At 46.9% G+C, this 24,072-nt stretch overlaps 4 annotated features.

Moving 5' to 3' along the window:
• Positions 11,404-11,955: an enhancer, noted in NCBI's record as "OCT4-NANOG hESC enhancer chr2:235339493-235340044 (GRCh37/hg19 assembly coordinates)". NCBI's record gives its function as "activates a minimal SCP1, AML or CMV promoter by ChIP-STARR-seq in naive H9 embryonic stem cells {active_cell/tissue: H9 hESC(naive)}" and the evidence as "EXISTENCE:reporter gene assay evidence [ECO:0000049][PMID:30033119]".
• Positions 13,927-14,498: an enhancer, noted in NCBI's record as "H3K27ac-H3K4me1 hESC enhancer chr2:235336950-235337521 (GRCh37/hg19 assembly coordinates)". NCBI's record gives its function as "activates a minimal SCP1, AML or CMV promoter by ChIP-STARR-seq in naive H9 embryonic stem cells {active_cell/tissue: H9 hESC(naive)}" and the evidence as "EXISTENCE:reporter gene assay evidence [ECO:0000049][PMID:30033119]".
• Positions 13,927-15,347: a biological region, named in NCBI's record as "MED14-independent group 3 enhancer GRCh37_chr2:235336101-235337300".
• Positions 14,148-15,347: an enhancer, noted in NCBI's record as "MED14-independent group 3 enhancer chr2:235336101-235337300 (GRCh37/hg19 assembly coordinates)". NCBI's record gives its function as "activates an origin of replication core promoter dependent on BRD2, BRD4, P300/CBP and CDK7 cofactors, and independent of MED14, by STARR-seq in HCT116 cells {active_cell/tissue: HCT116}" and the evidence as "EXISTENCE:reporter gene assay evidence [ECO:0000049][PMID:35650434]".

Raw genomic sequence — 24,072 nt, 5'->3', positions numbered from 1 at the left:
TAAATATATTTTTTTCCAGTGAAATATAGAATTTGTTTTTCAAAGAATGAAACAAAAGTAGGAGTTTATCGTTTTGTTTGAATTCAAATAATCTCTTAAATCTATGGGAGTAAATAGCAAATTTGAGGGCAGGGGGAGAGGGGAAGATACCATACAAATAGCTAAATTTATACCGAAAGTTCAATGGAAACAAAAACAGCATAGACACATGACAGGGGACGCCATCAGTGGACACAAAATTGGAGCTTTAGATAAGGGATATTTTTATTACATGTACACTCAATATACATGAGTTCACATGTATATTAGGCAGCCTTCTCCATCACAGCAGAGACTGCAGGCCCAGGAAACCTGATGGATTCATTCATAGGTTCACTCATTTGGTGATTTAGCTGATACTGAATGAGCACTGGTACAGAGCAGATACTAAAGGTAACAGGGTGAGCAAATAGGGTCTGTGTCTTCACTGGGAGGCATCCTTGTGAAGGAAACAGATATTAAGACCTTTCAGGTTCTTCTAATTGTATCCTAAGAGCAAAGAGGTGTCTCGGAGGGTATTGAAAGTGGTGAAGTAGAAACTGTCATGATCATATTTACATCTGAAATGAACACTTGGTTGGAAACCGGTGCAAGCCTAGGTGGACATCAGTCCAGGAAAGAAATGATGGTTATTGGGATAGAGGTGGTGGCAGTGGAGAAAAAGGGATAGATTTGAGAGATTTTTCTAAGGTAAAGTTCAGAGATCCATGTGACGGTTTGGCTCTGATTTGGGCAACCTTGATTTGCTGAAACTGTCTATGGTTACCTGTCGCTACAATGTAACCATTTATTCGCCCGGGCACAGTGGCTCACGCCTATAATCCCAGGACTTTGGGAGGTCGAGGTGGGCAGATCACTTCAGGTCAGGAGTTTAAGACCAGCCTGGCCAACATGGTGAAACCCCCTCTCTACTAAACGATACAAAGAAATTAGCCGGGCGTGGTGGCGCATGCCTGTAATCCCAGCTACTCAGGAGGCTGAGGCAGGAGAATCACTTGAACCCGGGAGGGGGAGGTTGCAGTGAGCTGAGATGGTGCCACTGCACTCCAGCCTGGGTGACAGAGTGAGACTCCGTCTCAAAAAAACAAACAAACAACAACAAAAAAAACCATTTATTATTACTCTGCTATGGTCCAAATGTTTGTGTCCCCCCACAAAATTCATATGTTGAAACCTAATCAACAGTGAGATGTGTTTGGAAGTGAAGCCTTTGGAAGGTGATTAGGTCATGAGTGTAGAGCCCCCATGAAAAGAATTAGTGCCTTTAGAAAAGAGGCCAGAGAGAGACCTCTTGTTCCTTCTGCCATATGAGGTTACTATGAAAAGATGATTGTCTATGAACCAGGAGTGGCTCTCACCAGAAACAATATCAGCCAGTACCTTGATCTAGGTCTTCCCAGAGTCCAGAACTGGGAGAAATAAATGTCAGCTGGGCAAGGTGGCTTAACACCTGTCATCCCAGCACTTTAGGAGTCTGAGGTGAGAGGATCGCTTGAAACCAGGAGTTTGAGACCAGCCTGGGCAACACAGTGAGACTCCCGTCTCTACCAAAAACTAAAAAATTAGCTGGGCGTAGTGGCACGCACTTGCAGTCCCAGCTACTCAGGAGGCAGAGGTGGAAGGATCACTTGATTCTGGGAGGTTGAGGCTGCAGTGAGCTATAATCATGCCACTGCATGCCAGCCTGGACAACAGAGCAAGATGCTGAAAAGAAAAGAAAAGAAAGAGGAAGGAATGAAGGAAGGAAGGAAGGAGAAAGAAGAAAGAAAAGAAAGGAAGGAAGGGAGGGAGGAAGGAAGGAAGGAAGGGAGGGAGGAAGGAAGAAAGGAAGATGCCTGTTGCTCATGAGACACCCAGTTGAGGGCTTTTGTTATAGTAGCCTCCATGGACTATCATCCTCCTTTTTTTTTTTTTTTTTTTTTTTGAGACGGAGTCTCGCACTTGTTGCCCAGGCTGGAGTGCAGTGACGTGATCTCGGCTCACTGCAAGCTTCGCCTCCCAGGTTCACTCCATTCTCCTGCCCCAGCCTCCCGAGTAGCTGGGACTACAGGTGCCTGCCACCACGCCCAGCTAATTTTTTGTATTTTTAGTAGAGACGGGGTTCATCCTCCTTTTACTCTCCCAAGTGTCCAGTTTGGACAATAAACTCTGTGGTCACTCTGCCTCTGAGGCATAGGGAGAGGGTGGTGTCGAGGATAAATGTGGGCCTGTGACTTACACTCTGGAAAGACAGCAGTGCCATTGCTGAGATAGTATGCATGGGTGGATGCCATGATTCTACAGGTTGTCACGTCACAACCACTTTCGCTCAGAAATAAGCCGGGCAGTGCTGCAGGCTTAAGGGTGTTGGAATTTGTCTGGTTGGTCAACTAAGCAACGGGCTGCCCACCAGCATCAGTAAAGACAAGCACCATCTATAACCTTGGGCAGTCCTACCAGCCCTAGTGTGTCATGTGGTCACCCAGGCTCCCTGCCGACTATGGCCACCGTTCCCTGGCCACCTCCTCACATAGGAAACACATGTTGGTCTCATGAGAATTGTATCCCCAAGCACCATTTCCTCTTGGGCTCATGTGGCCTGCACACCCATCCCTCCTGTCCATGCTGATGGTGGGAAGACGCTAGCGAGGATAATCCCATAGCAAGAATCTGAGAGAGCCCAGGTGGGCACAGAGGGACAGTGACAGAGCCTCCGAAAAGGAGGAGAACAGGGGAAAGGGAATTATTTTTGCAGGCAAGGGAACAACAGCACAGATTTTGACCTACTCAATTACACTCCAGAGTGTGCACTTGCTTCCTGCCCAGCCACATTCTCCTGGTAGACACCTGATCCCCCTGTGACTTCGCTGCTGAAAACTTTTCTTTCAGATCCCCTTTGGCCATTGTCTGGGTGCTCCCAAGAGTCTTCCCTTCAATCCTACTGGGGGTCCCCAGCACCCTGGGCCAGGCCTCTCCCCATATTACCAAAAAGGGTTCAAACTGTTCCCATGAAGCCAACTCTTCATATGGATGGGATGGGATCCCTCGTTACTGAAGAATCACCAAGTCAAGTGAAGCATGAGCTGTTCCCCTTGACCTTGTCTTCTAATTGATCATCGGTTTTTCTTATCAGTTTGTGAGATCTCCTTGTACAATAGGCATATGAATATTTTTGTCTGACATGTGCTGAAAATATTTTTCCAATTTATCACTTTTCATTTGATTAGGTGTATGGTATCTTTCCCTAGGTTATATATATATATATATATATATGATAGATACAAATGACAAATACATGAATATAATTGCACATACACAGTGATTTCCTGTCAAGAGTAATATAGTCTCCCCATGTATAGTTTTCCTTGTCTCTAATTTTATTAAATTGTGTTTACATTTAGATCTTGGATTATTCAAAACATCGCACTATTTCTTCAATCACTCCCAAAGACAATTTATAAAAAACTTAACAGAATCTGATATTTCTAAAATAAATCACTCCAGACCAGTATCTTTTCTCTCCACCCCTCACCGAGACGGAGTTTTGCTCTTGTTGCCCAGGCTAGAGTACAATGGCACGATCTTGGCTCACCGCAACCTCCACCTCCCGGATTCAGGCGATTCTCCTGTCTCAGCCTCCTGAGCAGCTGGGACTACAGGCGCCCGCCACCCCACCCAGCTAATTTTTGCATTTTTAGTAGAGGCGGGGTTTCACCATTTTGGTCAAGCTGGTCTTGAACTCCTGACCTCAGGTGATCCACCCGCCTTGACCTCCCAAAGTGCTGGGATTACAGGCATGAGCCACCACGCCTGCCCTCCAGACCAGTATCTTATGTGAAAATATTTTATTGTATTCTAAGAAAACAAGATTGAGAGCAGAATTGAAATTCTACCCCGCCTGCCCCCGCCCCCCGCAGGCTGACTTCTCCAGCACAGCCCCTCACCTCCATTTCCTCTCCTACCAAAAACATTAGTCTTTCTTCTATCCCTAGACCAGCCCTGGGTGGAAAGACTTATTCGGATCTAAATTTTGAGCTTCCTGTTTCTTGCGGAGTTGATTTACGTTTCACTTTTCTGTTCTAAAAGCATTATCTATTCATTGTAGAAAACAAAAGTGTTATAAATAGTAAAGCCTCCACAAGCGGACATTGTTGGAGGTCTCAGCATCTGACTCTCGCCTCCATCTCCAGAGCCATGTCTTTCCCCGTAGCTGCTATCCAGGGATGGGCCCCCAGCCCGCCGAGAGCCAGGAGACCAACGGTAGCCTTACCTGTGGGGAGAGGCAGCCCACTATCCTTCCAGTCCCTGAAAGCTACTGAAGGGAACTCTGCTGCTCTGGCGGTGGGGGGTAGGCAGCCTTCAGCAGAGGAGGCAGGGCAGCACCCAAGGCCCTGGAGGGGGAACCCAGAGATGCCCTTCAGGACATGTTGTCCCAGACCTGAGTGTCTGATCTGCTAATGCTGTTATGCAGAAGGTTGGGATGAAACGCCCCACTTGCCCCACTCACTGGAGCCACATAAACCACCTGAGCTGGAGCGGGTGTCTTAGTCGGGCCTGCCAGGTGGCTGGAGGATGTGGGAGAGGAGGCCTGCTTCTCGTCCAATTCTCCTCTTCTTTGTCCAGAAATAGGCACACAATGAGGAAGGCGTCTGATTCCAGATGGCAATTGTCCCAGAAAAGCAGGTGCCCTGCACCAGTGTGGACATGCATGCGCATTAATCTAGCCATTTCCATTCAGGGTGCCCACGCCTTACTTCAGAAGGGGGCTCAGTTCATGAAAGGTGGAAGGAACCCAGGAGCGGGAGAAAAGAGTGCTGATGAAAATGGTCTTTGTTCTAAAGAAAATCCCCAAGGGAAGCATCGTTTGGTCGCTTGGTTTTGAATGGATGGAGCACAAAGCAAAGCCTCAGATGTGGTCAGTTGGGAAGGGAAGCACTCAAGCTGAGACAAGCCACTGCAAGAAAGCAAGTGGAGGGGCAGGTTTTCTTCTGCCCTCTCTTCTTCAACCCAAGAAGAGCTACCACATATTCACTGAGTACCACCCTGTGCAGGGAGCAAGGGCTGGGTGGTGGGAGCCTGCAGCCAAAGGACACGGGCATCCTAGGGACAGAGAAAACAGTGCCAACCAGGGATCCCTGTCTACAGCGTGGGAGATGAGGAGCAGAGCTGCTTATGGTCCTGAAAGAAATGGGTCTGAAGCAGAAGAAGAACACTTCTTAGGGTGGCCACTGCAGCCCGTTTGAGGGTCTTTCCCAGCCTGTGAATGCAGACAGATCAGGAGAATTTATAGGAACCAAATACGGGGGACACCACTCTCCCCTGCTCTCTCTTCCACCAAGAGAAGCAGTGCCATGGTGCCTGTGGTTATGCATGCTTGAAGGTCCTCACTTGGTCTGCTTCTTGCACTCTCTGCTGGTGGTGTTCCCTCGGGTACCATGAGCAGGGGCACCCACAGGGAGAAGAGGCCAGGGTGAGGCTCAGAGCCAAGGCTGATGCCTATGAAGGGAGGCAGCTGAGTTGGAGGCCACAGCGTGGATGGTCCCTGTCACTGGGGAGGGACAGCATGTGGAGCTTTCAGCTTCTCCCAGGGTGGGTGGTATCACTCAAGGAGGAACCAACAAACCCCACTCTTTCCCTTTCCCTCTCTCTTGACTTCCCTCCATCTTTCTTACCTTTCTTCCCCCCGCAAACCTTTATTGAGCACCTACTATATACCAGGGGTGATTCTAGGAGCCGGGGAAAAAGCAGTAAACAAAACAAATGCTTGTCTTTGTGGTACTTATACTCAGATGGAGGACAGGTCAAAGAAATACTTTGATGTTAGAGTTCAAGACAGTGCACTGCTTGACAAAGAAAGAAGCAAGTCAAGGAGAGAGAGGGCAGGTGGAACCCGCCACAAAGTGGCCTCTGTGTGGAGGGATGTGGAGCGACTGCACCGTCCCACTCGGTGTCCGTGTGGGGTCTGGGGCTCAGGACAGCCAGCACAGGGACTCCAGGGCTCCCCCATACACTGTGTGGTGCCTAAGGGTTCCAGTGGGGCAGCCCAAGTGTGTGCACTGACCTGGGCCAACATGCAGGGCCCTGTTATGCAAGGGAGAAGGAGCAGGGACTCGGGGGGAGCGGCGCCACAGGCATTCTGGTGTGGTTTCTCCAGACCCGCCTGCCTGGGAGGAACCTGATTCTGCAGCTCGTCACCCCTCAGCCCTCCCACAGCCCCTGCAGCAACTTCCAGGTCTCTGCTCTGCAACAGTGGTACCTCCCCTCAGCATCCCTCCCCACCAGTCTCCTGGAAGCTTCTCAGGCTTCTCCACCTTTGCTCCTCCATAAAAAAAAAAGTCCCACACCAAGCTCACTGGGGCCATGCTGGACTCCACCGGGCACCATGAACTGACCCAAAACTGGAGCACCAAGTCCTTCAGCGTTGGCATTGGGCAGGAAAACAGGAGACAGGCAGGTCACCAAACCACCAGAATGCAGAGTTTAAAAATAGCCTCTCGGCACTGCCCTACTTCTCCTGAAATGATTCCATTGGATCTGGTCACATTTTTATATTCTGGAAGCACTCGAGATGGATTTTCACAATACACATTAAAGCCATCTATGTGGTATTTAACCAAAGACAGGCAGATTCATAAGGAATCAAAAAGGATTTTAAGACCAAGGAGTGAAGCGTGGGGAGACCTGGAAAACCGTAGTTGGGCAAAGGAAATGGATTTTTGTACTCTGGGTGTGTGTCAGAGGGAGGGGTGGGGAGGCACTGTGTCAGGAAGTGGAAATGGCCCTGCTGGGGATAGAGATAACAGAGCTCTGAAATCTGGGAGGCGAATCCTCCAAAGGCTCAAGCCATTGATCTGCAGAGACCCTGCAAGGAATAGCAGGCCTCCCCCAGCCCATTCCAGGAAAACACCAACTCCACCAAAAACCAATGTAGGAAATCCACAGGGTTCAGCCTTCTGCCTGGCCAGCAGTGGCCACTCACCCCACTACCACCATCGGTTTCTCCTAGTCTTTGCCAGCAATCCTCTGGTTTGAATCCAATAGGGGAAGGAAAAGGAAAGAAAACACAAGCTTTTTTTTTTTTTTTTTTGAGACAGTCTCGCTCTGTCGCCCAGGCTGGAGTGCAGTGGCGTGATCTCGGCTTACTGCAAGCTCCACCTCCCGGGTTCACGCCATTCTCCTGCCTCAGCCTCCCAAGTAGCTGGGACTACAGGCACTCGCCACCATGCCCGGCTAATTTTTTGTATTTTTTTAAGTAGAGATGGGGTTTCACCGTGTTAGCCAGGATGGTCTCGATCTCCTGACCTCGTGATCCACCCGCCTTGGCCTCCCAAAGTGCTGGGATTACAGGCGTGAGCCACCATGCCCGGCCCACAAGCATTTTTATTCAACAGATTCTTACTGAGTGCTCCTGCGTGCCAGTGCTGTGGTGGACATGACAGCAGAGGATAGATGGACAATGCTGTCCTCTCTTGGACTTTGCACTCTGGGGCCACAAAGCAGAGCAAAACAGATAATACGTCTATAAAAAGTCAGGTGGGGATGAGTGCTACGAAGGGCAATGGGCCAGAGTGAAGGATAGGATAGACGGGAGCCCTCATGGAGGGTGCTCTTGGAAATCAGAGACAGGAGAGCCTGTGAAAATTGATGTCTGTTTTTCTTTAGTCTCTGCGGGGGAGGAAAATAAGCACTCTTTCTCCTGCATGGGTCATGGCTGATACTCTTACTGGAAAGGGGTCCGGATCCAGTCTTGGATCTCAAGAAAGAAATAATTCAGGGGAAGTCCACAGAGTAAAGTGAAAACAAGTTTATTAGGAAAGTAATGGAATAAAAGAATGGCCACTCCACAGACAGAGCAGCACCAAGGGCTGCTGGTTGTCCATTTTTATGGCTATTTCTTGATTATATGCTAAACAAGGGGTGGTTCATTCATATCTCCTCTTTTTAGGCCATATAGGGTGACTTTCTGATGTTGCCACGGCATTCGTAAACTGTCCTGGTGCTGGTAGCAGTGAGGACAACCAGAGGTCACTTTCGTCACCATTTTGATTTTGGTGGGATTTGGCCGGCTTCTTTACTGCAAACTGTTTTATCCACGAGGTCTTTATGACCTGTATCTTGTGCCGACCTCTCATCTCATCCTGCGACTTAGAATGATTTAACCATCTTTGAATGCAGCCCAGTAGGTCTCAGTCTCATTTTACCCAGCCCCTATTCAAGATGGAGTTACTCTGATTCCAATGACTCTGACAATACCTCCACAGGAAACCTTGATTCCACTTCTCATGTCCTATAGGGTGTACCTTCATCATCTTTCTCCCTTTAGCACTCTTTTTTTTTTTTTTTTTGAGACAGAGTTTCACTCTTATTGCCCAGGCCGGAGTGCAATGGTGTGATCTTAGCTCACCGCAACCTCCGCCTCCTGGGTTCAAGCGATTCTCCTGCCTCAGCCTCCCCAGTAGCTGGGATTACAGGCATGTGCCACCACGCCCGGCTAATTTTGTATTTTTAGTAGAGATGGGGTTTCTCCATGTTGGTCAGGCTGGTCTCGAACTCCCAACCTCAGGTGATCTGCCCGCCTCGTCCCCCCAAAGTGCTAGGATTACAGGCGTGAGCCACTGCGCCCGGCCTAGTACTCTTTTTCAACTTCTCCCTACCCAATGGAATCTTGCTCACTCCCAGTGAGCATGCTCAGATTTCTATCATCTTAAAATATTGAGTGCTCTGGTGCATCCGTGTGCACACGTGCACACACATGTGCACTCACATGCCCCACAATTGACTCCAGCTGTGACTCCATTCTTTGCTCAAGCAATTGTCTTGCGTTCTTGCCCCCATAATCTTCCAAACTTGATTACTTTTTTATACTTTATTGATTATTATAAAAGCAGTATATACTTAATTTTTGAAAAAAATGTGAAATTAGCAGTATACAGGAAGAGAAAAAGATGCATGCATTTCCACCATTGTCTCTGGGCCCAGCACACACAGGCACGAGCCATTCATACACATCACCCACCTCCACATCCTCCTATGCCTTTGTTCCTATGTGAAATCCCATTGTTACACAGTGTTGTCTTCTGTTCTACTTAAAATTGTATCATAAGCATTGTCACATTTCAGCAGCAATTTTTTGTATGAAAATGTAAGTGGCTTTAAAAAACTATTCCCTCTAGTGGATGTCTCATACTTGACTTAAACATTCCCTTGAAGGTCACTTAGTGTGGCTGCCATGTGTTCTACGTAAAAATATCAGCCATCAATGGGTGGGTGCGTAACCCCCGTCCTCATTTCAGCTTTCCTTAGGATATGTTTCCAGAGCAGGATTACTGAGTCAAAAGCTATGAGCTTGTTGAATGCTGTTGACACCAATTGCTGGATTTCTTTCCAGCAAAGTTGGCTGGTTCACATCCACATCAGCAGTTTCTGACTCTCAGAAGCCTCCCAACATAGCTGTGGACACCCTTTCCCATTGAGTTCATATCACTGCCCTTTCCTTATCCAGCCTATATTGGTCCTTTATTAGGGAAACTAACCCTTTGTCTTTCACATTTGTTACCAATATGCCCTCACTTTTGTTTTCTAATGAATTTTATTTACTGTAGATATATAATCAAGTCTATTATTTTTAAATATAAACTAGAAATATTTTTTCCTAATTTTCTGTGATTTTCTTGTTTTAAAATGCATTTGGGATTTAATTTTCCTGTGTCATGGGAGAAGAGCTAATTTTATCTCCCAAACAGTCAATTATCACACCCCACTTATAGAATAATCTGTTGTTTATTCATTGGTTTGTGATGACTGTTTTTAAAAATGATATGAGTTCTTACACATGGTTGGCCTGTGTCTGGCTTGTCTTTAGCTCTGTTGATTTGACTTTTCTTTTGTGAGAAACACGATGACTTTCTTTTCTTTTTATTAAGTTTTAAAATTTAGTAATATTTTTTACTTTGTTTTTAAAAACGTATTTGCCAGGCATGGTGGCTCATGCCTGTATTCCCAGCACTTTGGGAGGCTGAGGTTGGAGGATCCCTTGAGCCCAAGAGTTCAAGACCAGGCTGGGCAACATGGGAAGACCCTGTCTCTATGAAAAGCTTTTTAAAAAGTTAGGTGGGAGTGGTGGTGTGTACCCGTGGTTCCAGCTACTTGGGAGGCTGAGGTAAGAGAATTATTTGAGCCCAGGAGGCCGAGGCTGCAGTGAGCCATGCTCAAGCCACTGCACTCCAGCGTGGGTAAGAGTGAGACCCTGTCTCAGAAACAAACAAACAACAACAACAAAAAACCATTTGCAGTCATTTATTTTCTTTTTCTTCTTTTTTATTTTGCTTTAAGTCCCAGGATACTTGTGCACAATGTGCAGGTTTGTTACATAGGTATACATGTGCCATGGTGGTTTGCTGCACCTATCAACCTGTCATCTAGGTTTTAAGCCCCACACGCATTAGGTATTTGTCCTAATGTTCTCCCTCCCCTTGCCTCCCCACCCCCTAACAGGCCCTGGTGTGTGATGTTCCCCTCCTGTCGTCCACGTGTTCTCATTGTTCAACTGCCACTTATGAGTGAGAACATGCAGTGTTTGGTTTTCTGTTCCTGTGTTAGTTTGCTGAGGATGATGGCTTCCAGCTTCATCCATATTCCTCCAAAGGACATGATCTCATTCTTTTTTATGGCTGCATAGTATTCCATGGTATATATGTACCACATTTTCTTCATCCAGTCTATCATTGATGGGCATCTGGGTTGGTTCCATGTCTTTGCTATTGTCCTGCAATAAATGTACATGTGCATGTGTCTTTATAGTAGAATGATTTATAATACTTTGAGTATATACCCAGTAATGGGATTGCTGGGTCAAATGGTATTTCTGGTTCTAGTTCTTTGAGGAATCGCCACACTGTCTTCCACCATGGTCGAACTAATTTACATTCCCACCAACAGTGTCAAAGCGTTCCTATCTCTCCACAGCCTCACCAGCATCTGTTGTTTCTTGAGCCGTCATTTATTTGTCAAGCTTATAATAGAATGATTTTATCAAGATGAAGTGTTGGTTTGAGATTTTATTTGGATTTTGTTACTCATAAAGTAACTTGAGAAAAATTTATTTTGTTGCATCATCAGAAATGCGATACATTACTCCATTTATTCAAGTTTTATTCTTTATGTCTCATTATAATTCCTAGTTTTTCTTTTTTCCAATGTGCATCTTACTGATGTTATTCTCAGCTTCTGTACATTGGTGCTATTGAGAACAGTATTCCTCTCCCACATCCGTTCTATGCTGATCTGATGCAAAGCTGTTGTTTCCCATGTTTGTATTGTATTGATTGCCTCTTCTTAATTCTATAAGACTTTCAGTGGATTCTCTGAAGTTTTCTGGGTATATTATTACACATTAAAGGAAATCAGAATATTTTACCCCCAAATATATTGCTCTGACATATTTCGAGATGGCTGCCACAGGGCTGGCAGACTGAAGTGGCTCTACAAAGTGGTCTTTTGTGGGGAAAATTTGCATCTGGAGATCTTTAGTGAATCCCCAGAAATGCAACCAGTCCTGCCCTAGTCCTCATGTAGGAGAGATTAATTTGGGAGATTCTGACACCGTGAAAGATCTGAAAGAAACATTCATCATCTATTCTCTCTGAGAGCTGCTACCTGTGAGGTTTCATCTACATAACAAGACCACCTTTGTCAGCCAGTCCTCCTCTTCTCCTCCTCCCATCATCTGTCTTGCCAATAGAACATGATTGACTACCATAATTGTTTTTTGGCCATGCTCTGAGCCTCCATTCATTCTGTAACCTCAAGATGGTATATTTAAGCTTCTGTACTTTGTTGGGGGTGGGCTCTTTATTCTGAGGGCTCCTGTGTATACACACGTTGAATAACTTTGTATGCCTTTTCTCCTATTAATCTGCCTTTTTTTTCAGACAGAGTCTTGCTGTGTCGCCCAGGCTGGAGTGCGCTGGCCTGCTCTCGGCTCACTGCAACCTCTGAATCTGTCTCTCTGGTTCAAGGGATTCTCATGCCTCAGCCTCCTGAGTAGCTGAGATTACAGGCACACACCACCACGTCCAGCTAATTTTTGTATTTTTAGTAGAGACAGGGTTTTGCCATGTTGGCCAAGCTGGTCTTGAATTCCTTACCTCAACTGATCTGCCCACCCCAACCTCTCAAAGTGCTAGAATCACAGGTTTGAGCCACAGTGCCCGGCCTTAATCTGTCTTTTGCGAGTTGATTTTTCAGTGAAACTTCAGAGGGCCAAAGGTTTCGCTTTGGCCCCTACAACATATATGCAAGCAATAATTATTTTGCATCTTTAATCCAGATCATTATTAACTTTAATTTTTGGAGTCTGCTTAATAGTGATGAAAACTTCCAAGAAAATTCTGATGGTCAGAGTGAAAAAAGATTAATGTGGGATTTTACTGGATATTTTTCTAACATTCATGCATGATTATGACCAAGATTATGGTTTTCATAATGAGGTTACTATGCCACATGTATATACTTTTTTTTTGTTTGTTTGTTTGAGGCAGTGTCTCACTCTATTGCCCAGGCTGGAGTGCAATGGCATGAACTCAGCTCACTGCAGCCTCCACCTCCCAGGTTCCAGCAATTCTCCTGCCTCAGCCTCCTGAGTAGCTGGGATTACAGGCATGTGCCACCACACCCAGCTAATTTCGTATTTTTTGTAGAGATGGGGTTTCACCATGTTGATCAGGCTAGTCTCGAACTCCTCACCTCAGGTGATCCGCCCGCCTCGGCCTCCCAAAGTGCTGGGATTATAGGTGTGAGCCATCGTGCCCGGCCTATCTATATAATTTCTAATATTATCCTTCCTTCTCTGATGTAAACCAAGTAGAACAGTGGGCACCAAAGCACAGTGCATGGCCTAGCCCCTTCATTGACGGAGGGATGGAGAGCAAGTCACTTCTCTCCTGTAGCTGGGGAGATAAAACAGGGAAGACCAAGAGGACTCAGGGCAGGCAGGCCTGGAAGCCTACTGAGGAATAACAGTAATTATACTCAGCATTAATATTATGTATTGAGTTCTTCCTACACATAACGCTAAGTGCTTTACAGATCTGATCGCTGAAACAGCCCTGTGAGGTGGGCATCCTTATCTCCAGTGTACAGAGAAGAATCTGAGGCTCAAAGAGGCTGAATCATGGCCCCACGTTGGAACAGTCCTTGGAGGCAAGAGCACAGCTAAGTGCAGGCCTGCCTGGATCTCCAGCTCAGCTGTCAGACTATGCAAAAGGCCTCCAAAAGAGAACAGAGGCTTTGTGTTTGCACGTGGACTAGCACAGCTCACCAGGATCAAAGGCCAAGGAGTCTCTGGCAGGGATTAGGCCATCCCCCACCTACCAGCAGGTATTCCCAGGAAACCATTGAGGAAGCAGGAGACAGCCAGGCCAAGCCGGCCCATCGAAGGGCAGACATGCTAGAGTCTCTGTTCTTTGGAAGGCACAAGCAAAGCGAGCCTGTCACCTGCTGACTTGGAGGAGAAAGGGAGAGAGGAACCCAGATAGTGTGGAGGCTGCAGTGGATCCACTTAGTGGGCGATACGTGTCTCTCCAAGGGGGCTACATTTGGAAGGGGCCACAGTGCAGCGGGCGAGAGTGCTGCATTTCTGTGTGATGAGTTTGAGGCAGGCATCCACATAGACTTGTACCAGAGGCACCTGAAGATGCAGACAGGGAACTGGGACACAGGTTTCCATAAGGATGAGGATGGATGAGGATGTTTCTTCCCGCCCAAGTCTAGTCCCCTCCACCTCCCACCATTTGGCCTCAGAGGGCCAGCTTCCTGAAAATAATTTCCAAACGGACCCTGACCCACTCTTTCTTAGTCCTTGCCTTCAAGAATGTGGGGACCATCTGTGTCAGGCCAGAGTCTACAGTGACGGATGTTGTGATTTGTTGCTCCAGGAACGGGGCTGCATGTGGAAGCCCTTGCTGGTTTCTGTGTTGAGCGGTTTACTGCAAAGTTAGCTCTTACCTCCCATGCTCAAAGGCGATCGACCAGCTTGAAGTGGACTGATGACTATTTAACCTCTTAATAGACTTCAGACGGACAACGGGCTTTCCCTGAATACCTGGCACACGGGGAATATGCTGTGAAATTTGCTGAGTGAGTGAGTGGGCAAATGAAAACATGGTCTCCTTCTACTTCCAGTTTGAAAGGAAGTTAATCTAACTCGGGTGGTGTCCATGAGATGTGAGCATGCCTCTCTGTGCTTTCAAAAGTTCCACAAAACAGGTCAGGCACGGTGCTCACGCCTGTAATCCCAGCACTTTAGGAGGCCAAGGCGGGCGGATCACCTGAGTTCAGGAGTTCAAGACCAGCCTGGCCAACATGGCGAAACCCTGTTTGTACTAAAATTACAAAAATTAGCCGGGAGTGGTGGTGGGCGCCTGTAATCCCAGCTACTTGGGAGGCTGAGGCAGGAGAATCGCTTGAACCCGGGAGGCAGAGATTGCAGTGAGCCGAGATTGCGCCACTGCACTCCAGCTTGGGTGACGGAGCGAGACTCCGTCTCAAAAAACAGCAACAAAGAAACCTTCCACAAAACAAATCCTAAATTGGATTCTATGTCTCCAACAATAGGGAAATGATTAAGTAAATAACGGAAAGAGTTATACAACATTTTTTCAGGAATTTTTAGTGACAGTTAAAAACTTATTAAGTAAAAAAGTCAAGAAATAGATTTTAAATTACACTCTGATATCAAGTATGTAAAACACTTATGCTGAGAAAAAGACTGGATATAGCAGAAGGGTGGTCACCGATAAGGGGTGAGGCTTCCGGAGGATCGTGCGAAGTTTTCTGGGTACTTCCTGGTGTGACGCTGCATAGTGATGTGGTGAAAATGGCAAGTTCCTGGAGGGCTTGAGGTGGGTGGAAGTTTGCATTCTCAGGGAAATGCTTGGAATAGTCGTTGATTGGATGGTTCTCTACATTCTTCAGATTCCTCTGCAGAGTGCATTTCTTTCTCCCTCTCTCAAAGTGTGGATTAAATTGTTTTGAGCTGGTTTTGTCTGCAGCAATTAGTTATCTTAACTAAAGCTCATAAAAAAACAACAACAGAAAGGTAACATGAATGAAGGCCATGTCCTAAAGTTGTACAGGAAACAGACTAGGGAGCAGAGAAACGGGTGTGGGGCGGAGGGGAAAGGAAGGTGGGGGTGGAAGGTGGGGTGGAGGAGTCCAGCCTTCCCTTCCAGCAAACAGTAAGCAGCTTTGAGAAATGGGGAGGGGGCAAACTGATCTGAAATGAAGAGGATGGCCTCAAGGATGGCCCAGCTAGAGAGAGACCCACCATAAGTACTGCTCTAAAACCTTGGCCACTCCAGCTCTGGCCCCGCCATCAGCAACTGCTGGGTGTGTTAGAGACCCAGGCTCTCAAGCCCCAGCCCCAGGGCCCCAGAGCCTGCTTGTCAAAGGATTCTCCCTCGGTGAATTTGTGTGCATCAAATGAGTTTGATGCAACCCTTTCTGAGAGAGGGGGTTTCAGGCTCTGCCTGCCTGGAGGGTGAGAGGAAGTGGCAGCTCAGAAAAATCTAGAAGGGAGAGACGGGGGTCAGAGGATTTGCCGGACAGCCTGGCACCCAGAAGCAGCAGTGGCTGGCTCATGGTGCAACCCAGGGAGCCATGTGGACGATGGGGTCGATTGTTGACATCAGCACTGAGACGAACCCACCCAGCCTCATGTTAAACAATCAAATCTTAAATGATTGAGAGGTGCTTCACACTAATCTTGGCTCTTGAACAGTGGGGGCTGTTCCATAGGCTCAGTGTAATCAAGAATCATTCTTGCTCTGCTTCCGAGGGAGAAGGCGTTCACCTCTGCATTAATTTCAGCTGTGTGGGGAGACGTGCTCCCTGAATTTGGTTCCATCCTGAGTGGGAGGGTTGCTAGTCTCAGAAGCCTCTTCTAAGTTTCTCTTTTGACATCTGCTTTGGGCAACAACATGGCCACTGCTTCCTAGAGAAATGGGAAGAGAAACCCTCACAGTTCAGAGGGTGAGAGTGGCTGATCCCTCCCCCATCTGTTGACACTCCTGGAAACTTTTGGGGACTTCTGGGGATGGGGCAGAGGGGCCTATTGCAGAGGGTACATCTTCCCACAGGTTAGATGTTGACGCTCCAGCTGCCCCTGGCCACCGATGGCAGATGATTTCCTGAGCCAAGGATCCTTTCTTGGATTCTGGGTCTCCCTCACTTAGGAAGTAGAAGAGAAACTTTCATTTCCAAAGTGTTACTCTGCCATGAAATCCATCAATGTGGAGTGGCAGAACAGAGAGCTCAGCAGTTCCATTATCTGATGGAGCTCAGACAGTGCAGAAAAACAAAGTGTTTCCCTTCTCAGTGTGTGTGTGTGTGGCTTTTTTTTTTTGGGGGGGGGGTGGTCATTGTTAAACTGACACAAGGTGACCTGATAGGGGAAGGAAGATCTGTGATTCATTAACACTCTCTCCCTTCATCTTTGTAATCGTCATCATTTTCATTTCTTCCAGCAGTCTCAGGACCTGCCTCCAAAGGCAGGTCCTGAGGGTTCACAAGAAACCTAGAGCTGGGCGAGCTTGCTTCCCTCCTGCTGGGTTCAGCCCTAACTGCCTCTTCCTCAGCCCCGCCCTGCACACCTGCAGTTAGGGCACCGAGGCAGCCCTAACGCTTCTGAGGAAGTGGGTTTTGTGGGTAGGTGGAGTTCTATGTCCCAGAGGGTGAGGAACTGGGCACCACACCCATCCCTGTATGCAGTGGGTAGAGTGGCCTAGAGGGCCAAACCTGGGAGGAGGGTAGGGAGGACCCTCTCTGGCCCATCCTCTGCTTCTTCCCGCATGCCCCTGAGGGCTGCGTTGATGTCCTCATTTCCATATAACTCCAGTGACACAGAAGCTCCTTGTGAAGTGAGCTTTCCTGCCTAATTGAAAGACACCAGCAGAACATGACTCAGGGTGGCAGTCGTCCTGCCCTGGCACTAGGCAGGTCACCCAAACCTCCTTGTTCCTCCAGATGAAGATGCTAAAGCCTGGCCAGGTGAAAGAGGAAGAGGCAGGTCACCCAAACCTCCTCATTCCTCCAGAAGAAGATGCTAAATCCTGGCCAGGTGAAAGGGGAAACTCAACCCCAAGGAGTCAGGTCCAAAGGGACGGGTCCCCAGGGACTAACTGGGACAGGGGTCTGAAGGGACCACCAGCAGGTCAACCCACCCACCAGCCTCACCCGTGCTGTGTCCCCAGACATGAAGCCAAGAGAGCAAGTTCCCTAAATTCCCTTCCCACCTCTGCCACGACCAGCTGGGTCTTATAGTCACTCCCTGCCCGGCCTCATTCCCAATAAAACCCAACCACCAGGGGCCCCGCCACTGGCTACCACTTAGCTCGCTCTCACCCCCATCCCTGTGACCTCCCCCAGAATCTCCTATGGCTTTTCCCACCACCCTCCAACCATTACCAGTGAGGCTTGGGCCCAGGGTGTGTCCGGGCCTCTCTTGCCACCCACCACCCTTCATCTTTGTAGCCCGCTTTCCTGCAAGAGGGAATTCTCTCTTCCCATTACAACAGGGCCTGTGGCTTGAGCACCCAGGGTGCATGTGTACAGACTTGGGGAGCAGGGGCTCAGCTCCAGGCACTTCTAGGACCCTGGACCCTGAAATTTATATAGTGTTCCTTTATCTGGTAGCTCATGTCACTCATTAAGAGTTGTTCCATTTCTGGTGGGGTGCGGTGGTTCACGCCTGTCATCCCAGCACTTTGGGAAGCCGAGGCAGGCAGATCACCTGAGGTCAAGATGAGCCTGGCCAACATGGTGAAACCCATCTCTACAAAAATACAAAAATTAGCTGGGCATGATGGCAGGTGCCTGTAATCCCAGCTACTCAGGAGGCTGAGGCAGGAGAATCGCTTGAACCCGGGAGGCAGAGGTTGCAGTGAGCCGAGATCGCGCCATTGCACTGAGCAACATGACTAAGCAAGACTGTCTCAAAAAAAAAAAAAAAAAGAGTTGTTCCATTTCCTAATTTTGAAGGGTTTCATTTTACAAAGATTTGGAATGTGTATTTCTCCCAGAACAATAATTTCTTTTTATTTGTTGAAATGGTGTAAGCAGAAGTGTCATGCTAAATGTCTGTACATGGTTTCCATTCTCTTATGTAAACTCCATTTTTATAAATAGAGAATTCAATTTGATTCAACTTTAAACAGATGCTACAGTTAATTTTGAGCAATTGTTAATATGTGTGGGAACATGCTTTGAAAATAAGTCCGTGATCCCAATCTGTGCTCTGAGTGTTTTCATTGAATTGAGCACAGAAGTCCAATTCTGGAGAGATGAAAACACAACAAAGCCAAGATGATTTGAAACTGGCCTTATCTAAAGTTTTGTTCCTTTAAAAAATCAAAACGTCATTTATTTTCCTTCCACCCCAGCCCCCGTCTTCCCAGCTTTGATCTTTCTACTTGTCAGAATATTGCATCAATGACACTGGAAATATTTATTCAACAAATACCTATTAAGCCCCAATTAGAGGCTGGATGTTGCATTTGGTCCTGAAAATTAGACAAATACGTTCCCTGTTCTCAAGGAGCTTATAGGCCTGGGTAAGGTAATTGCAGACACCTGAAGTATAACATACACCTGAAGACTCTAACAGGGACACCTATCTCCCGAAAGGATCGAGGCATGGCCCTCCAATTAGGTTGACTTCAAAGTGTGAGGGGAGCCCAGGGGATTTCCAGTCCTAGGAAAAACCTTCACAGCCACCAAGAACTTTCATGTTTTAGTTTTCAATTAAGCCCTTTCCTTACATAAATTTTCTTCTGGATTCAAAGTCATTCAAAATGATGATTCACTCTACCTGGCAAAATATGCCGTCTTTAAAATTATTAATATAATTGTATCAGTTTTCTATTGCTGCTGTAGCAAATTACCACAAATGTGGTGCTTAAAACAAACCAAATTTATTATCTTAGAGTTCTGAAGGTCAGAAGTCTGGCATGAGCTAAAATCAAGGTGTTGGCAGGGCTGTGTGTCCTTTTAATATTTTTTATTTTTGGTGGCCTTAACAGAGGGTTGATATTTTGTCACATCTCATCGACCTGTCTATTATTATTATTATTTTTTGGTGGGGGATGGGGACAGGGTCTCGCTCTGCACTACAGGCTGCAGTGCAGACAAAATTGTGGCATGGCTCACTGCAACCTCAACCCCCCTGGGCCCAAGTGATCCTCCTACTTCGGCCTTCTGAGTAGCTGGGACCCCAGACATGCACCACCATGCCTGGTTAGTTTTTTATTTTTGTAGAGTCAAAGTCTTACTATCTTGCCCAGGCTGGTCTCAAACTGCTGGACTCAAACAATCCTCCACCTCAGCCTCCCAAAGTGCTGGGATTACAGGTGTGAGTCACCGCGCCCGCCCACCTGTCTCTTCTGCCTCCTTCCGCATTTAAGGGCCCTAGTGATGGTACACCTGCATAACCCAGGTGATTTCCCTATTTTAAGGTCAACTGATTGACAACCCTAATTCCAGCTACAAACTTAATTCTTTACCATGTCATATAACACATTCATAGGTTCCTGAAATTAGGACATGGACATCTTTTGGGGGCAGGGTGGGGGGATGCCATTATCCTGCCATCTACAAGAATATAGTTGTAATTATGTGACGTGCTGACCTCCTGTCTCAGCATCATGCTGTGCGGTGCAGACCTGAAGCTGTGAGCACACACCCTGTTGACGGAAGCAGCCGCTCTCCTATGTGATGAGGCTGTGGTTATCATTCTCCTCATCCTGATACCTCTTTTCTCTCACTGGGGATCCCTGCCAGCTTCTGCAACACAAAACTTCATTTTTATCTCCTAGTCTATTTGTTTTGTTCCCTAATAATGTCGGGTTTTTTTCTATGGTTTCTAAAATTCTTGCCACTGTTCAGCCATTTTTATACTTCTTGGAACTTTTTGAATTTTGAATAAGTAAATAAATGCTCAAATATGCATCAAACTCTGTAAATAAACAGAAGCAATTACAAGTTTTAGAAATAGTCTTATGCATTATGGTAAACTCAAACTCAGTGACGTGTTTGAAGTTACTTGTCATAGAATTCCTCAGCTCAGATTTAAGCTCAATTCACATATACAGTCCCTACCTTCTGGTTAATGTCAACATTCATGAATAGGCGTGGCCTTTGCAGGAGTGAGCTCAGGGAACCATGCTCCATGAAGCTCAGGGAAGCATACCTGAGTGTCCTATGCATGGATGACAAAAATCATTCCTTCCTTCCTAACATAATTGACCTTTACACTTTATGAGTAATGGTTACATGAAAAACACACCCAGCTGAAGCTTGGGGAAATATATCATGACTCACTCATCCATTCCACAAATACTAATGCAAGCTGTTGGCATGCTTGTATCTTAATATCAGGGCCACGTGCTTCTTTGCTGTCCGGGCTCTATCTGATCTCAAGGAACAGAGACAGCATGGCAGAGGTTACCATAGTTAATGGTGTTCAGCTTGTTTATCTTAAAGATATCTACAGGTAGAAAGAAAAAAAAAAAGGAAACCAGTATAAATGCTCCTGTAGAGGCTGCACACAGTAGAAATCAGTCCAACCTCATATAAACTGATTGACATATAGGCTTAAAGTTGGTCCTCATAACCCAGTTATCATGGGAAGCCACAGAAGTCCATGTCTCCTGCTTGCTATCTGAGCACACTTCCATTTAGATGAGTTGGTACTCGCCGGGTGCGGTGGCTCATGCCTGTAACCCCAGCACTTTGGGAGGCTGAGGCAGGTGGATCACGGGGTCAGGAGTTCGAGACCAGCCTGACCAACATGGTGAAACCCTGTCTCTACTAAAAATACAAAAATTAGCCAGGTGTGGTGGCGCTCACCTGTAATCCCAGCTACTCAGGAGGTTGAGGCAGGAGAATCCCTTGAACCTGGGAGGCAGAGGGTGCAGTGAGCACGGAGATCACACCACTGCACTCCAGCCTGGGCGACAGAGTGAGATTCCATCTCAAAAAAAAAAAAATGACTTGGCAATCCCCTATCTTCACTTCTGCATGTGCCACTACCCACTAAATACAAATACATTATTGCTCAAGCCATGTCAAGCGGATATTTGCTGTTATTTGCAATCATACTCATTCTGCTGGTACACTTCTATTTTTTTTTTTTTTTTAACGGTTAAACCGTCCCTATTTAGGACCACCTGAATGTGATAGTCCTGGGGCGATCATGTAAAAAGTAGAATGGAATCATGCTCATGGAAGCCATCTGAACGTTCAATATTAACGCAAGGCAGGGCAATTATTACTACTCAAGCATCCCCAGAGGGACAAAGGGAACCTCCAGGGACCACTCAGGAAATAATTAAGAAATGCTGGAGGAGTAGCTTTTTTTTTTTTTCAAGACAGAGTCTCATTCTGTTGCCCAGGATGGAGTGCAGTGGCGTGAAGTGATCTCGGCTCACTGCAACATCCGCCTCCCAGATTCAAGCAATTCTCCTGCCTCAGCCTCCCGAGTAGCTGGGATGATAGGCACATGCCACCACGCCTGGCTAATTTTTGTATTTTTAGTTGAGACGGGGTTTTGCCATGTTGGCCAGGCTGGTCTCGAACTCCTGACCTCAGGTGATCCGCCTGCCTCGGCCTCCCAAAGTGCTGGGATTACAGGCATGAGCCGCCTTGCCGGAACTGGAGGAGTAGCTTCTTAAGAAACCACATAACAGGCCGGGTGCAGTGGCTCATGCCTGTAATTCTAGCACTTTGGGAGGCTGAGGTGGGCAGAACAGTCCCAGAACCTGTAGCTGGAACTACAGGAGTGTGCCACCACACCTGGCTATTTTTTTTTGTATTGAGGAGGTTTCACCGTGTTTCCCAGGCTGTTCTTGAACTGCTGAGCTCAAGCAATCCACCCACTTCAACCTCCTAAAGTGCTGGGCTTACAGGCGTGAGCCAGTACGCCCGGCAAGAGTCTACATATTCTGAAGTTATATTCCCATCAATTCAGATTCTGACCTTTCTCCAGGAAATCAAAGAATTCTCTATAAATATTATCTCCTTGCAGCCTCTGCACTGCAAGCAGGCTGACGTCATGTTTGGTTTGCAGTTAGTAAGGAGCAGTTTAACTTGGGGGCTGCAGCCATGGAGTTCAGAGGTTAACAACCAGGCAGCAGCTTTTTGTTCCTGAACTGGGTGGTGCTGCTATTGACAGACCTTCCTTCCCACCCACAACCCCCGCTCTCCCCCTTGCTGCCTTGTTTAGAACCACACTTCTGGGGGCCACCCTTGACAGAGGTTAATTTGAAGTCTCCACTTGGCTGGGCTATGGTGCCCAGATGTTTGGTCAGAGACCAATCTGGATGCTGCTGGGAAGGTACTTTTTAGGTGTGATTAACATTTAAATCTTCTGACTTTGAGTACAGCCAATGATCCTCCATAATGTGGCTGAGCCTCATCCAATCCAAAGGTCTTAAGAGAAAAAGCCTGAGGGCCTGGCATGGTGGCTCACGCCTGTAATCCCAGCACTTTGGGAGGCCGAGGCGGGTGGATCATCTGAGGTCAGGAGTTCGAGACCAGCCTGGCCAACATGGTGAAAACCCATCTCTACCAAAAATACAAAAATTAGCCAGGAGTGGTGATGCATGCCTCTAATCCCAGCTACATGGGAGGCTGAGGTAGGAGAATCGCTTTTGAACACAGGAGGCAGAGGTTGCAGTGAGCCAAGATAACGCCACTGCACTCCAGCCTGGGTGAAAGAGTGAAACTCCGTAGAAGAAAAAAAAAAAGGAGAAAAAGGCTGAGATCCTCCTGAAGACCTGAAAAGCCAGTTCTGCCTCCAGACCCTGCCATTGGACGTGAGCTGCAGCATCCACTCTCTGAGGCCCCAGCCTGCCAGCCTACCCTGCAGATTTCAGACTTGTCAGCCCCCACAATTGAGGGAGCCAATCCCTTAAAATAAAGCTCGCTCTCTCTCTCCCCCACCTCTGTCTATAGATAGACATAGATATAGAGATATAGATGTACATAGATCCTGTTGGTTCTGTTTCTCTGAAGAATACTAATACACCATTCAAGGACATTGAGTTTTATATTAAAACTATATTTAACCCAAGTCTGTGAGGAAAACCCCAAACAAACCAAAACTGACGGACATCCTATAAAACTCCTAACCAACACTCCTCAAAGGAGTCAAGGTCATCAAAAACAAGAAAAGGCCGGGTGCAGTGGCTCATGCCTCTAATCCCAGCACTTTGGGAGGCCAAGGTGGGCAGATTACTTGACGTCAGGAGTTCGAGACCAGCCTGGCCAATATGGTGAAACCCATCTCTACTAAAATTACAAAAATTAGCTGGGTCTGGTAACATGTGCCTGTAGTCCCAGCTACTCGGGCAGGAGTATCGCTTGAACCTGGGAAGCGGAGGCTGCGGTAAGCCGAGGTCATGCTACTGCACTCCAGCTTGGGCGACAGAGCAAGACTATGTCTCAAAAGAAAAGAAAAGAAAAGAAAAGAAAAGTTGGAGCAACTGTCACAGCCCAGAGAACCCTGCAGAGCTAGGACAATTGAATGTCATGTGGGATCCTAGATGGGATCCTGGTACAAAAAAGGCAGGGGAAAAACTAAGGAAGCATCAATAAAGTATGGTCTTTAGTGAGTAATAATGTATCAATATTAGTTCATTAGTTGTGATAAATCATATTAATGTAAAATGTTAATGATAGAGAAAAAACAGATGTGAGTATATGAGAACTCTGTATTTTCTCTGCAATTTTTCTGTAAATCAAAAACTGTTCGAAAATATAGTTGATTTTAAAGTATATTGCTTTCCTTGTCATACGTGTAATTTGTTCAACAAATGTGTGTTGAACACTTGCTGTTTGCTGCCTGCTACCATAGTGGTGGGAAAAATGAGCAAAGAGCCTACAAGTCAGCAAGAGACAAGGACCAAGGGAGCACACAGGCGGAGCTGGGCTTGTGCTGCGGAAGACGTGGGGCAAAGGACAGGTGTTCTTTCAGATGAGGAGGCAGAGAAAAGATCCTCC

The sequence above is a fragment of the Homo sapiens genome, chromosome 2 (genome assembly GCF_000001405.40).
Source record: "Homo sapiens chromosome 2, GRCh38.p14 Primary Assembly".
Classification (NCBI taxonomy): Eukaryota; Metazoa; Chordata; class Mammalia; order Primates; family Hominidae; genus Homo; species Homo sapiens.
The sequence above is the reverse complement of the archived record's forward strand: the minus strand, read 5'-3'. Positions and strand labels throughout refer to the sequence as shown.